General features: G+C 42.0%; 1 protein-coding gene across 43 annotated transcripts in view; it reads right to left on the reverse strand.

Moving 5' to 3' along the window:
• Nucleotides 1–16,447, reverse strand: part of DOCK9 (dedicator of cytokinesis 9) — a 295,191-nt gene that overhangs the window by 61,353 nt on the left and 217,391 nt on the right. For 41 of the 43 annotated variants that reach the window (XM_047430231.1, XM_005254035.4, XM_006719937.4 and 38 more), the window contains exons 28-34: nucleotides 13,450–13,596; nucleotides 13,147–13,230; nucleotides 12,644–12,755; nucleotides 8,589–8,767; nucleotides 8,238–8,351; nucleotides 5,624–5,741; nucleotides 1,117–1,250 (exon numbers count right to left, since the gene is read on the reverse strand). In XM_047430231.1, the coding sequence (XP_047286187.1) occupies nucleotides 1,117–1,250; nucleotides 5,624–5,741; nucleotides 8,238–8,351; nucleotides 8,589–8,767; nucleotides 12,644–12,755; nucleotides 13,147–13,230; nucleotides 13,450–13,596 (888 nt within the window). Of the gene's footprint in view, nucleotides 1–1,116; nucleotides 1,251–5,399; nucleotides 5,742–8,237; nucleotides 8,352–8,588; nucleotides 8,768–12,643; nucleotides 12,756–13,146; nucleotides 13,231–13,449; nucleotides 13,597–16,447 lie in introns of those variants that run through there. The other 2 variants (NM_001130049.2, NM_001130050.2) reach the window with 1 other exon arrangement.

Genomic DNA, 16,447 nt, shown 5'->3' on the forward strand with positions numbered 1-16,447 from the left:
ACGTCATGACACACCCAAACTGAGCTGCTCGCACCTCAACAGAACTGCATTTAATGGTAACCATGTCAATGCCAGCCATGGGATGCGTGACAAGATTATAAACCTGATGCTGAGGAAGGATGTCTTCCGGGTGTTTTTGGAGAACTAGGGATAAATCCCTAAATGGCTCAGCTGTTTATTGGGATGGGCACTTGCCTGTAACTTGAAGTAACTTAGAAAATCTGTGCCCAAAGTGATACCAATCTACCATGGCTCCAGGTTTAAACCCACACTTTATCCTTTCCTACAAAGTTCCAAATGGTCTGAGCACTTAGTAGTTTCAAGAAAAAAGGCTAAGTATGAGGAGGAAGTGTTGTGTTGTGGGTGCGTGCTGTGTGAATAAAGTGATTTCTTACCCCTGAATCACCTATATGATCAATTATTCTCTGGAGCTGGCTTCAGACCTAACACCCTTGTGGGTGGAGAGCTGTGTTGATGATGGTGTCTCTGGTATAAAGACTACAGGGAATTGGCCAGGTGTAGTGGCTCACGCCTGTAATCCCAGCACTTTGGGAGGCCGAGGCGGGCGGATGACGAGGTCAGGAGTTTGAGCCCAGCCTGGCCAATATGGTGAAACCCCATCTCTACTAAAAATACAAAAATTAGCCGGGCGTGGTGGCTTGTGCCTGTGGTCCCAGCTGCTGGGGAGGCTGAGGCAGAGGAGTCGTTTGAACCCAGGAGGCGGAGGTTGCAGTGAATTGAGATCGTGCCGCTGTACTCCAGCCTGGGCGACAGAGCGAGACTCTGTCTCAAAAAATAAATAAATAAATAAAAAGACTACAGGAAATTGAGATGGGCAGCATTTTGAGTCCCTCCCCGTTCAACCCACCAGAGCCATTCACTCAAGACGCTCCACTGCAAACCCTGCCCAGGATCTGAGGTACTGGAAACAGGAATCAGAGCACTTCAAGGAATGGGCCCCAACCTTAAAGCTCTCATCACCTACTCCAGGTCAGCCGGGTGGTTTAGAAAAAAACAAAAGGTCACACTTAAAAGGCACTAGAACATGAAGTACGTTTACTTTGGGCTAAATCCATTGATTATAAGAAACATTTGTGTTGGGTGAAAAGCAATTACCTTATCCAGGGAATTGCTCTTCTCACTATTCCTTTCTGGAAGGCTGTTACCCGAATCTGTGCTTATGAGAGATCCTCTCGAATCAGCATTTCTCACACTGTTGATGTTTGGAGTTGAGGTTGTATATGGAGAAGCTAAATGGAAATCAAGCCAACAATAAAGTTTTATTAAGACAGAACAAAATAAAGATGAGTACTGAACTTTAAGGGAAATTGCTTTTATTGCACTTATTTTTTCTGTTAGGAAGTTGGCTCAAGAGTTGCATTCCATTACTTCACCTTTAAAGAACCAGGTCATATACAATGAGATAAAAAGAAACTAGTCTGAAACATTCAGATGTAAACATCAATTCACTTGTTAGAAACCACCTTTGATCGCTAAAGACTAAATGCATACCTGTTTCAGAATGTGATAGAATGAAGACTTAAAAAAATTAAAAGATAAATCCACCTACAACTATCAAATCACAAAATTAAACCACACAACAAACTTGTAGCATTCAAACTGGTAATAAACACTGAGGAGCCTACCCAACTCTGAGGGGTGTCATGGGGTATTTTAAATTTTCGAGGAGAACACAGTGATATGTGACCTCAGCCAGAAGCTGCTGTTTCAGCAGCAGGTTGTGCTATGCTCCTTTTGAAGACATATTTGTGAAGCTGGGTATTTGGGGGCCTGCTATGATAAAAGGCAAGTAATCAATGAGGGACAGGAAATGCGAATGGTGCTGGCCAATCTGACCCAAAGGCTGAGAAGCTGTCAGTGTCCAACAGGTACACACCACCCATTTGTAGTGAGTTGTGGTTATTAAAAATAAAATTAATTGTTTCCTTTAAATTTATGTGTATTATTTCTTTTAAGTGCCTACTAAATTGTTAGGATGTAAGTACTTATTAAGTTATTTGGTCCTAAGTACCTAATAAAGAGAACTGCTGGGTGTGTCTTTCAGCCTAGGGATGCCACGAAATAAAGTGACACTAAGGGTGCTGTGAACGGGGAATATCTGGGAATCTGCTATAAACAACTATGAGCAGAAAGGAAATCTAATGTGGAAATAAAATTTGTGATGTCCATGAAAAAAACAGTATTTGAAGGCAGAAATCACTCCCTATCTTGGTACTATGGAATTTTTTAAGGTAATAGATTGACTTCCTGCTTAGATAAGATTTAAATAAATCACATAATTTAAAACGACTCTTTGGACTTGTACATTCCGTGCTGAACCAAAAGGCGTGCCTCCAGCGGAAAGGCCTGGCTGGTTTGGCAGATGGCATCAGGAGATTTGGACTCTGTGTCTGGCAGCTGTGAGCACACATTCTCCCAGACGCAAGCTGAAGATGCCATTACTTGGCACTTCACAACAGGCTGGTTGTTTTCAGATCTCAGTAGGCAAATGAGCTGCCATGGACTGGGATACTTCTAAGTTAAAAAATAAATAAACAACAAAATAAATATAGCCAGCCTCTAGGTTACACCAAAAGTATATTTGAAAGTGACTCCTCTGCCTCAGCCTCCCAAGTAGCTGTGATTACAGGCGACTGCCACCAACCCTGGCTAATTTTTTTGTATTTCTAGTAGAGACGGGTTTTCACCATGTTGGCCAGGCTGGTGTCGAACTCCTGACCTCAGGTGATCTGCCCACCTCGGCCTCCCAAAGTGCTGGGATTACAGGCATGAGCCACCGTGCCTGGTCAGTCTTTAACTCTTTAACCTTAGAAGGAAGACCTGTGACATCAAGGTCATAAATCCTTCCCTCTGTTGAACACTCAGATTTATTCACTGCTATCCCTGAAACTGATTCAGTGTATTAAAGATCAAGAAAAGAAGAGCCAGGAGAATTTGAAAAAAGAAGCAAAGGCTTGAACATGGTTTCATTAAGCCTTATTGTCAGCCAGTGGCTGCGTCTCCCCAGGAGAGAAACCATGTGAATGATTGTCGCAAGGGACAGGTAAAAACCCTGTGAAAAAACTATGGCCTTTTTCTGTACTCAGATAAGAAACACATGCTATGACCAAATTATAATTTTTCTAATATAATCATATTTCATATTTAATGTAGAACAGCATTTGAAGAACACAGAAGTCATGAAAAAGAACACAGAACTCAAGAGAAAGAGGTCCTCAGTAAAGTAAAATTAGGCCCTAAGTTCTCAGAGTCTCAAGCTTGATTCCAGAACTAGAGTCCTAATTTAAGACAAACAGATGGAAATGCAATATATCAAAATCAATATGCTTAGTTTGTTCCTATTTTTATGTCTTTGTGTATGTGTTTGTATTTAATATCCTGGCCCAGTGCATAGCTTTTAAAGTCCTTAAACGACACTTGAGTAAAATGAAAAGAAGATAAATTCGTCCCTCTTCCCTTGGTACCACTGAGTAGGTGGAAAAAGAAACCCTGAGCCTCAGGACGCTTGCCTTTTAAAATGAATGTAATCTCAGAGTAGTTTTTATCCAGGCAGTGAATCACTTTTAAAACTCTCAGGCACCATGATCCAAAGACATTTAAAAAACTGTGACGGCACATTCTCAGTATGTGTGGAAACAGGATTCTTCTAACAGAGATGTAAGGAGAGTTTGCTCTTGAAGGAGAAGCACCAGGACTAAAATTAGCTAGAAACTCCCTGATGAACAAAGAATTGTTAAAGCTGCCAGAAAAAAACTAGTAAACCCAGTTCAAAGATGAGGCTTCCCTGGAAGGTACTCCTAAAAGAGAACAGGGATTTAAATCTTCAAGAAAGGAGGCAATATAGATAACCTGAGTATAATAAGCCTGTCGAGGTGAATTCCTATGAAAAGTGGATTTGGATCTTAAAATTCAAGAGTGAAAAAGGATTAAGTCAGTTTCAAGTACTTTTCACAGCTGCAATGTCAGTGCGGAGCAATTGGAGGCTATGATGCTAAAGATCCCCAGTGGCCTATCTCCAAGTTCTAAAGAAGTCCCCAATCCTAACAAGGTGAATTCTGAATTGGAGAAGAGTCAAAAGAGTCAAACAGAAGTATTAAAACTTTGTGGAAATGATCAAGGTTACAGTGAAGTGATGTTTCCACTCATCTGACTCCTCTCTGCCAACCACCATACACTTTGTATCAGCTCTTAATCCCTCTAACGACCGTTTTGAAGACATGGGTATGGAGGGCAAAGAAGATAGACAACATCCTGCCATGGTAACTAGTAAATGGTCGATTCCAGATCCAAGGCTGCATCTGTCTGACTTTAAAGCTAGTGCTGTGAACCACTGCAGACAAAACCCTCTAAGGAAGGTCCCCTCCCTGCTTCTGGAGCAGTGGCTGGGAATGGGGCAAAGCAGGGCAGAGACAGAGTGAAGGCCCAGAAGAAAGGCAAATGGAAACTCGTGACAGCAGCCAACATTTGCTGAGCATTTACCGTGTGCCAGGCTCTGTTGCAAGCATTTTGCATGAATTAACTCTTTTAATCTTTACAGTGTCAACTAAGGAGAGCATAACTGTGAAAAAGACACATAAATATCAACCAGGTTAAGGACTGGTATTATTATTGCAGGATAAATTTGGGCATTGGTGTGGGGTTTCTCATGTTAAATTCTACCCAGTTTCATCCCCTACATGAAATGGCGTATTACCACCACCACCACCGGCAAAGGTAAAGACATAATCTCAGAGTGGGCAAGTCCTGTGAGTTAATTGGATAAAGGCTGCCATTTATTTTATCCCATGAATTAGTCCCATTATTAGGTAGTCTAGCCACTAGCCATAGTAGGATGCTTTCTTTATTCAAAATGTGATAAAGACAGGGAGAAATAAAGACTGAAGAAGGCTGTGAGCACCTGTGACAATTCTTGGAGGATATGTGTGTTTGTGTGTGTGTGTGTGTGTGTGTGTATATATATATATATATATGTAAACTGCTATCTCTGAGGAAAAGCTAGCACAGGCGTTCATTTAGTCAGAATATTAATAAGTACATTATGTCCGGCATTTTCTTATGGAGAAACTATTAGAATCTTGATTTGTGTCACGTGTTTTTCTCTCAGAGGTGGCCGCTCTTCTGTTATTTCACACAGAAAAAGTCTTGCGGGACAGAAGACTTTTGAGAACTGATTTTAGCACTGAATTCTAGCCACAAACTGCTACGTTCTTCTGGAATTACTATGTCATATTTCATCAAAATTGCTAACACTACAAATCAGTGTTCCCCTCCCCCCACCACCTGCAAAAATATCCCTTAACAGTATACACAATCCAATTAAGATTTAAAATGAAAACTCAACAAACGTTGAACAAAAAGCAAACAGCGTGAGCCAGTGATTAACTGTATGATCCTGAGGAGTCACAGGCATCCGGGACCTTTATTTCAGGGCATGGCTGAGGGGTTTCAGTTGTTGACTATCACAAGCAGGAAAAGAATACTCAGGAAAGCAACTTAGACTTCAAGGTCCTACCACACAAGTGTGACACGTTCACCAACTATTGGCTCCAAGACACTTTCAGAGTGATGGTGGAGAGAAGCCCACAAGAGCATGGAGCGTTACCAATGCCGGAGATGGCGCCCAGCAGGTCCTTGTGCAGGCTGTTGTCCAGGGTGCTTCCCTTCTGCGGCGTCACCAGCGGATTCACAGCTGGTAGAGCCAGGGATTCATCCTTCACAGTCTGTCAAGGAGAGGAAAGCAGAAACAATCAAAGATGACTGGAAAGGATTCCTCCCCTGTTCTTGGAAGTGCCAGGGCAAGTGCAGGACCAAGACAGCCTGATGCATTCAACGTGCCTGCCTGCATGGGAGGAGTAGCCTTGAGGCGTGGGTGAGGGTGGAGGGTGGGATGGGTCAGAGGGGGAGCAGGGGGCATGGGATATGGATGCTGGGTGGGGGTGGGGGAGAGAAATCACGTTCCATAAAGTCTTGTTTCTCTTTCCCCAGCGTTGCTAACACCTTTCCCTTTCCAGAGCTCGGACGCCCAACATTTCCTTAGATTATTGTTTTGTTTTGTTTTTTTCCTTCAGAGAAAGCCTCCCCTGCTCTTTCTAACTGGAATGCTGGCTTTTATCTGTAATGCGGGGAATTACAACAGCAGCAATGACTGTAGATGTTTGTAGCATCATGTGAACTCTCAGTCAGTGGAGAAATCATATTAATTTTTAAGTTAGGTCAAAAAACGGGATTTTACTTTGGTGAAAGTGTTCATTTTTGTTAGGATTGAAACAGTTCAAGGAGGTCACATTCTACTCTGAATTACTCTGGTTTGAAAAACAGACAGGGCTAGAGAATACAAGTGTGAAATGTAATGTTGTACAGGGTGAGATAAGCGAGGTGCACTTAGGATAGAGAGAGTTCATGCCCTTTAGAGCAGCCACACATGCACAAACGCTATACACACGGCTCAGCTCAGTGTAATGTTACTTAGGAATGTAATTGGAGGTGAAGAGGTAGTGTAAAAATGGGACACTGCATCACTGTTGGGGTGGGACGGAGGGACAGAAACATACATGAGACTCTGCAAGTGTACACCCATAATGACAAGGTAGGAAGATGAACAACCAAGCCAGTTCATGAGTCCAAAGTACCAGGGAAAGGGGAAATGCTGAAATAACATCTGCTGAAATTCATAGCAGATAAGCCCTCTGAGGCCAAGAAGAGAGCATCAGAAAGAGAAGGAGTGCAGGTTTTAGATGTAAAACTCTTATAAACTTTACTAATTAGAAATTATTATAGGTTAACCTTTAAAAAGCCTTTTGCAACTGAAATGTGACAAGAAATTTGATAGTGATAAACCTTTGAAAAAGCTGAATTGCAAGATGATTCCAAGAATCCTTTTTAAAAAACAATCATATGAAAGGTACCAGAGACTGAGTAAAAAAGAGCAAAACCATCTCTAATCAAAAACTTTTGAGATAATTTCTGGGGTCATCTCTCTATCTACTCAATTTCCAATGCATGTTTAAAAAACAGCACAAAGATAATATAAATTAAGGCAGTCAGTTCTTGGAGGTGGAGCCTCATGTCCCTCACCTTGGCATCCCTGATGTCCAGTCTCACTTCTAATCTGACAGAGGGAGAGAAACTGTAGCCCACAGAGGTGGCCTTTCTTAGACTGTGCAGCACGTTACTGTTATAACTGGGGCTACCATGACCTCTTCCAGGACACAGGTTAGGTTAGAACTACACCTTTTTTGTGTCTCCTTCCCCCCATAAATTTTTAGTGAATATACAAATGAAAATTCTGAGGCCTCACAAGACATTGGTTCATCACGAGAACATGGTTTTCATACTTATTTTTTAACAAGAAATGAAGGTGTAGTGACTGACCCCATCTTAGCCAGAAATGCAACTTACCAGGAGTTGCACTGGCAAAATAAAGGGGTGTGTGTACTGGGTTGAATAGTGTCCCGCAATAAATTCATGTCTACCTGGACTTCAGAATGTACCCTTATTTGGAAATAGGATCTTTCCATTATATATCTAAGATGTAAGTTAAGATGAGGTTATACTGGGTGAACCCTAAACCCAATCACTAGCGTCCTTATAAGAAGAAGAGAGGGGACTGGGCACGGTGGCTCACGTCTGTAATCCCAGAACTTTGGGAGGCCAAGGTGGGCAGATGGAGAGTTCCAGAGTTCAAGACCAGCCTGGCCAACATGGTGAAACCCTGCCTCTACTAAAAATACAAAAAAATTGGCCGGATGTGGTGGTGGGTACCTGTAGTCCCAGCTAGTTGGGAGGCTCAGGCAGGAGAATTGCTTGAACCTGGGAGGTGGAGGTTGCAGTGAGCCCAGATTGTGCCACTGCACTCCAGCCTGGGCAACAGAGCAAGACTTATCTTGGGGAAAAAAAAAAAAATGAAGAGAGGGACACAGAGGCACAAACACCATGGAGAACGAACACCAAGTGAGGATAGAGGCAGAGACTGGCGCGATGCCACTACAAGCCAGAGAGCACCAAAAGTTGCCTGCAGCATCAGCAGCTGTGAGAGGAGCATGGCCCATGAGCCTCCAGTAGGAACCAACCCCACTGACACCTTGATTTTGGACTTCTGGACTCCTGACTGGGAGAGAATAAACTGCTGCTGCTCTAAGCCACCCAGCTTATGGCGCTTTGTCCTGGCTTCCCCGGGACCTGATATAGGCTGAGTTAATGTGACCATGCTTACGTACCATGCCCGCGTTCACAGGGAAGGGTGACACATCCCTCACATTGATCCGCTGGACGTTTTCAATCAGCAGACCAAACAGAGGCAGGTAGAGGGTGGCTATCCTTGCCTGATGGCTCTGAAAAGAAGACACACATGGTAAGTTTGACCCAGGATTCTGAGAACCGAACTAAGTTGGTGCTGACCATCTCCTTTATTTGGATCCTTCCTATAAAGACAGATATTTGATTTTAGTCCCAAAATAGAGCAAAATCTTAGTGCTGTTACCATGAATTTTCTAACTGATTACTTTCTTTACACCACTTAAAATAAAGGACATTATCAATGCACATTCCTTCCATTGGGGACCACTCACCCTTGAAGCATATCTGTCATCAAAAGAATGCTTTATCAGCAGGTTCTTGAGCACACTGATGGCGATCAGACGGACCTCCCGGAACTCCTGGAGGGCTGTCCCCACCTCCCTCAGTAACAGTCCCACCAAGAAGTGGTTTCTGCAGAACTCATCTGTTAATGAGTAGTCAAGCTGGAGGTCTGAAATGAGGATAGAAACTACTTGAGTTAGGAAAGATGCAATGCTCTTTGAATAAAACAAACAAACAAACAAACAAAAAAAACTAAGACCCATCCTCTGCATTCAGCCCACCCTGGGTGTCAAGAGATGATCAGACTTGGCTTCAAATGAGAAAGAATCAATTCTACAAGGCTGCTCTACTTCTTAGCACAGGAGGATCTTAAATGAAAACCAAATTTAAATACAATTAAGTGCACTGGATTTTGGAACATATTGCATCCTACATAATTAAATTAGTGAACAGTTTAAGTACCAATTTTTAGACTAGAACACAGCATATGTTATATTACAAATATAAGTTTGTTATTGACAAAGTTAAAAACGTTATTATACTAGCTAACAGAACTGTATAAGAGCAGTTTGTGCATAACAAACATGTAATTAAATAATAAACATACATGGCTCATTAAAATGTTATTACATGAGTTCATATATTCCTTTCCTGGTCATTAATGTCTATATACTCCATTAAAACCCAGTGGATTTAAGATAAACAAATTAATATATAACCTACTTATTCTGCTATCCCTGAATGAAGAACTTATTTAATGCAGTATTTCCTAAGCTATTCTCCTAATATTTCTCCACCTCTGAAAACAAATACAAATTTAATATAAACTAAAATTGAAGTGGACAAAGCATCAAACCAAACTGGTAAATCACCAGCAAGCTAAATGACAAAACTGAGAGCTCTTCTGGAAAACAGATAGGAGCAAACATGAACTCTACTTAGGAAGGGTACATAAAAACAGCTAAACATCACTCTGAAGATAAAATACAATTTCAGGAAGCTGAAGCTAGGTTGTGAATTGTCAGACTGACTCCATTATTAAAGGAAAGTCTATAGACCTCTCCCTTTGCCTTTTGTCCCCTATCAGACAGTTACTCCTAAATCTAGCCAAAATATGGGCCCAAGTTCTATGAAACCCTTTAATAGAAGGGGGAGAGTATTCATTTTCTAGATTATGTTCATTGTTTATGATTATTTCACCTAGTTTATCAAAACTATAAGTCATAGCTTGAGTTCACATGTCTCTTGGAAGAAACTACTTATGGTTTAACTGGGAGTGTGCTCACACATCTATGGTTGTGTGTATGAATGTGCATGAGAAATTACATGGTCTGGATGTGTGTCCCCTCTGAATCTCATGTTGAAATGTGATCCCCAGTGTTGGAGGTGGGGCCTGGTGGGAGGTGTTTGGGTCATGGGGGCGAATCCCTCATGAATGGCTTGGTGCCCTCCTTGCCATAATGAGTGAGTTCTCGCTTTGAGTTCATGCGAGATCTGGTTGTTTACGAGAGTGTGGCGCCTCACTCCTCGTCTCTTGCTCCCTCTCTCGCCATGTGACATGCTGGCTCCCCCCTTGCCCTCCACCATGATTGGAAGCTTCCTGAGGCCTCACCAGAAGCCAATGTTGGCGCCATGCTTCTTGTACAAACTGCAAAACTGTGAGCCAAAATAAATGTCTTTTCTTATTTTTTTTGAGAGAGGGTCTTGCTCTGTTGCTCAGGCTGGAGTGCCGTGGCATAATCTGCCTAGATTGCAGATTTCACTGCAATCTCTGCCTCCTGGGCTTAAGTCATCCTCCCACCTCAGCCTCCCATGTAGCTGAGGCTACAGATGTGTACCAACACATCAGGCTAATTTTTGTTTCTGTTTTTTTGTAGAGACAGGGTTTTGTTATGCTTCCCAGGATGATCTCGAACTCCTAGGCTCAAGTGATCCTCCCAGTTCAGCCTCCCAAAGTGCTGGGATTGTAAGTGCGAGCCACTGCACTGGCCCTCTTTTCTTTATAAATTACCCAGTCTCATGTATTCCTTTATAGCACACGAATAGACTAACACAAGAAAGGAGGTGAAGGCAGGGGTGGGAGGTAAGTGAGAAGAAAGAAAATGAAAATTCTAAAAAACATTTATTCCTGTCAGTGTAGTAAGGCAAATTACTCCCATATATCCCCCCATCGACTGAGCGAAGCCCGTCTTGCTACCAAATACCCTAGAAGTCTATAAGAGCTTGTGCTGCCCTGCTGGGTCATGGGGAGATGGGCATCAGCACACATTCACTACACAGCCACTGGGCAAAAAGAGCTCCCTGGGCTCTGTACCAGGTGGAAGGAAGGAGAGTCCCCAGGTACAGGAGACTGGGCTGAGGGAGGCTGTGGTGAGGTTGGGGGCACAGGGCAGGAAAGAGTGGTTAATTCCAGTTGAGGAAGTGGAAGAGAGTGAGGAGACCCTGGGAGGCCCCATGCAGGAGGTGTGGAGTGGCTGGCTTGGGGAGGAAGATGAGGATTCCCCAGGGAGGGGGCTATTTGAGGTGGAGGGGTGGCATGATATGTTTGAGGAGCTGGGAGTTGGCAGGGATGCCTGGAATGTGCAGAATAGGGGGGTGTGAGACCACAGAGGTGGGGGGCCAGGGTTAGATCAGGGGACACTGAATACCTATCTGTTCTCTCAGCCCAGAAAAAGTCTCCCCCAGATATGCGGGTGCTTGGCTCACCCCTCACTTTCTTCCAACTGTTATCTGGCCACCCTGTCTCAAATGTCACCCCTTTTCATATCCCCTTTCCTTGCTTTGTTTGTTCTCCTTAGGATGCATCAGTGTCTGACATTCTATGTATCTTGTGTATGTAGAATAGCCGGGGATTGTCATCCAGGTGTATGTAGAATAGCCGGGGATTGTCATCCAGGTTGTACACAACTTATTCTGAAGCTCGACACAGTTGGTGCGGGGTAAATATTTGTTGAATGCATGAATGCCAACTCCAGGGCCACAGTCCCCCTGCCTGATCCTTAAAAGGCAGTACCAGTCTGTTTGGGGGAAACAGACTGAATGAATGCCTTAGTGTGTTTCTCTCGGAATTCAGAAGCAGTTGATTCAGGTGCCATTAGCAGTTTGGTGGCATCCTTCCACTTTTTCTCTCCCTTAGCACAAAATACCTGAGTACATACAAGGAATTAAGCTCAAGAGCTATTGCTTGACAGACCTGACAGACTAATTTGTTCAATTTGATTTACTCAGTGAAGACAAAGACATCCCTATGAGCTCAACTCTCTTCAAACGTAAAAAGAATACAGGACATTAATAAAGACTCAACATACAAACATTAAAAGCATGTAAAAAAGCCACATTGCTTGTGATTTTGATTACTGCCACCACTATGGACAAGGGCTATGAAAATAGTAGAATAATGAATTTTGGGGGTGAAGCAGGGATGTTTGTTTTACTTCTTAAAGAAACATCCTAGAGTACCCAGTGACTTCAGGAGCAAAAAACCGGATGCCTCCCTGGGATGTTACAGCAATGTCTTAGTTCCAGTGAAAAAATTCACTAATTTATGGCAAGTTTAAAAATTGATCAAATTATATAGGAAATACTTAACAGAACAGCATATGGAAGCAGTTCAGCCATCACTTGCATTCTTTATTTTTTAGAGGAGGAAAATGCAAGAAAGCAAGCGTCATACCCCACACCTACCTACAGGAGTGTCATTTGACTCCACAGTTGGTGAAAGAAAAGCTAATTCATAAGAAAAAAGGAAAAGTGAAACAAATAAAAATAAGCTATAGCAACTGAAATAGATTCCTTTTCTTTAAGCAAAGGGATTTTTCAATGAAATAGCCATACTGGCATGATCTGTAGTCTGATAAGTTTGCTGAAAAGTAAGTTCCCATATTTTACCAATACTTTTTGAAATGGAAATTTCATAAGAAAAAAATTAATTCATCAATGAAAAAAATCAGAAAATTCAAATATCATGTTTGAATCAATTATCTTTTCTTATTGAAAATAAATGTCTCTGTTTGTGAAAAGGTTAATAGAAATAAAGATGGATTACCTTGGTATCTTTGAATCCTGCCTTTTCCAAATGGCATTGGTAAGTTCAACGGAATATAATGTTCATGGTTGCACACTACACGGAGAAATTCAAACTTGTATTCAAAGAGGGTCTGCAGGAAGAAGTGTGTAGTCATAAATACCTCACTGGATATTTTATACAGGATTCTAAAAAACCTATTAGCAATAGTATGCTAGAAATAGTCATTAGCTTCTTGACCTTCTTAGAACTGCACACTCTATTGCACTGTACAGATTTCAGGATGGCTGCAGGGATTGATTTGAAAACTAAGGACACATTTCAATAAACAATGTCTTCAATTGATTTTTAGGGCTCCTCCTACTTCAATGAAGGACTTCAGGTAGCTTATAATTACAGACACAGGCTCAATACAATAAAAAAATTAGTAAGGCAGAGCTTTAAAAAAAAAAAAGGAAAAAGATAATTCTACCAGAGAAAGGCTACATGGTGACTTCTGTTACCAGTAACAACCCCCGCACTACCTTTGGGTCTCCAGGAGCAAAACAGCTAATGTAGTTGTTGATCTGCTTGAAGACAAAGCCCCTGTCCATGAAGGTGAAACATCTCTGTGGAGGAAAACAAGCAAAAAAGTTATTTCAGGTCCAAACATTTCGGAAATTTGGATTCAAAGCAGCATTTATTGCTAATAAGTTTATCCACTGACATAAAAAACATGCCATCAACATTGCCAGAGCACCTACTCTATTCTAGTCACCCTGCTAGACAGCTGGTAAAAAGCACATCTTTGTCCCATAACTGATATCCTCTTCCCTGGAGGTCCCCACCTTGATGAAGACAGCAAGGCTATGATTCGCGTTCTTAGATGCCTCTGGATTATCTCGAAACTTCTGAGTGATGTGTGGCATCAGCATATTTACAACGGTTTCCACTGCATGATGATAGGATGCAGGAAATCTCTGGTTTCGCAGCAACTAAAAAGAATTCAGAGCAAACATTTATTATTTATTAAGTTGCAATCATTTGGGAGGAAAAAATATCTCATCCCTGAGTCCATCTTAAAAAACCCAGAGTTTCTAGCTGGGTGCTGTGGCTCACACTTGTAACCCCAGCACTTTGGGAAGCCAAGTTGGGAGGATCACTTGAGCCCAGGGGTTTAAGACCAGCCCAGGCAACATAGCAAGATTCCATCTGTACAATAATTAGGTGGGTGTGGTGGTATGCACCTGTAGTCCCAGTTACTCAGGAGGCTGAGGTGGTAGGATTGCTGGAGCCCAGCAGTCTGAGGCTGCAGTGAGCCAAGATCAGCCACTGTACTCCAGCCAGGGTGACAAAGCAAGGCCCAGTCTCAAAAAACCCCATAAAACCTCAGAGTCCTAGTCTTGTTTATCTGAAATTGGAAAAAATGAATTAACCCTCCTTCTTTCAAAGTACTGTGAAAGTGTTCAAATACTTCAAATAAGTGCTGTGGATTAAAACTGGAACCTCAAACTTCAGCGTAATAAAGATCACCTAAAAAGTGTTTGTAAAAAGGTGGAGCTTCTGCATCCATTCCCAAAGATTCTGATTCAGGAGCCTGGCAGCGGGTGCAGGGAGAAGGGGCAAGAACCTGCATTTTTACTGAGCATCTTTGATGATTCTGATGCCTGTACCTCTCAGAGATCTCTTTAGAAAGCACTGGCTTACATTTAAGCTCCAAATATTCAAACTGAAAATACGGATTTTGATGACCGTGCATGATTAGTTAAAACTGCTTGGCAGCAGTCTTCTCACAATCAACTTTACACAGTAATCTTTCCCCAACAGGAACCTACAAAATTACACTCAGATTACTTAGCAATTAGCTAACACTTATGTATATCTTCTACATGTCAGACACTGCACTACATATTTGTATGTACTTTTTCATTCAATTCTTGTAATACCCCTATAAGTTTAATCCTCATTTGTTAAAGGGTCAGAGAGGTTAGGTACATGTGTCCTCAGTCACACAACTAACAACAACGATTCAGACCCAGGTCTACCACAGAATCCAAAACTTGGGCATTTTCTGTTACATGAAGCTGCACTTCCCCTGTGTCTATAAACAGAATAATTTACTGAGAGCCTGAAGTAGGAAGGATGCTCCATTACATTGATCCATTCATGCATTTAATTCTAACAGCCACAAGAGGGGGGTATTTTCATCCCCATTTTACAGACAGGAAAACTGAGGCTTAGAGAGCTCACTAAAAAGTACTAACTGACCTTTAATAAAACTGTCCTTGTCTTCCTCCTTTTAGTAACTGAAGAGTAATGGTTTTACAGGGACACATGGCTGCCCAGCCAGACTATATTTTCCAGTCTAACTTACCACTAGGTATGAGCCACATGACCAAATTATGGAAGGGATGCGTGCCTTGTTTAGGCCATGCTCCTAAAAGGAGCCGCTGGCCTCCCTTGTTCCTTCCTGTGCCACTGCCTGGACTGTGCTGTGGCAGTGAGCCAGCTTCTCAGCCACGTGGATGAGGTGAACATCGCAGGCTGGATAACTGGATTGGAGGAGCTTGAGTCACTGAATGATCTTGGGGAACTAGCTGCCCTGTTCTCCAAACTGCCTACCAACTCATGATTGTCCAAGAGAGAAATGAACCTTCTGTCGAATTTAAACCACTATTATTATGGCCTGTTTTTGAGCAGCCAAACCAATGTCCCAATATCAAACAAATAGTATTTTCTAAAACTGGGAACTGCAACCTAGACATTTCTGACATGACAGCAGGCATTATATTATGCATTAAATGCCAGAACCTATTAGGAATATTTGAAATACCAGCTTTATAACAATTTCAATTCTCAAACCAATAACGAGGAAATGTTTATAACCTTACATAGAGTCAAGAATCCAATGAGGAAAGGATCAGTAACAAAAATGTGAAGCTCACCAACTTTAAAAAACAGAATGGCAAAATGTGAAATTCCAAAGGGATTTTGTTGCATATGTGCCACCAATAACTCTATATCCTGAGATGACAGCATCAATAGATGACCAATTTCCAAGACCGCAGGCAAGGCCAACTCTAACCCCCGGCATGACTGCTAACTACCCAAGCTGGCCACTCCTGAAAAAGAGGTATCCCAAGAAATGCTTGTGGCCTTCACAATGGGGCTGAGTCAATGGCTGCTAAAACCAGGAAAAGTAGATGGAGAACTCTATCATGGACAGGTTGAGTGGGCACCATGTAAACCTATTAATCAACATTATTATAACTAAAAGTAGAACAGCTGGGTATATATGCCTCCTGATGTGATGCAATAGTAACAGCTATGAGGTATCCTTGCCAGAAAAAAAATCAAACCTGAATCAAATTAAGTCTCTAGATCCAACCACAAGTTCACAGGGAACACGGGGCAGAGAACCACGTATGTAACACGGTGAGGCTACCATCAGCCAAATCTAAACTGTGGGGAATTCTGCTGGACAAATGACCCACTTTCTTCAACAAATATGTTGCCAAAAAAAAAAAAAAAGTCCAAACAGATGAAAAGAGAACAGTTTAAGAATCAAAGAAACCTCAGAAACACAGCAACTAAATGCAAGGTGTGAACTTTGTTTAGATCCGGAAGCAGACAAACCCAACTATAGGATGACATTTTTGAGACACCTGGGGAAAACTGAATATAGACTGGGTGTTAGATGATAATAAAGACGTTTTGCTAATTTTGTGTGGTGTGATGTTGGTAGTTATATCTTTTTTAAAGGCTTATCTGTTAGAGATGACATGCTAAAAGTGTCTAAGATGGAGTGAGAAAATAGCTGGGAACGGCTTAAAATACTACAAGGTA

This window comes from Homo sapiens, chromosome 13 (assembly GCF_000001405.40).
Source record: "Homo sapiens chromosome 13, GRCh38.p14 Primary Assembly".
NCBI lineage: Eukaryota > Metazoa > Chordata > Mammalia > Primates > Hominidae > Homo > Homo sapiens.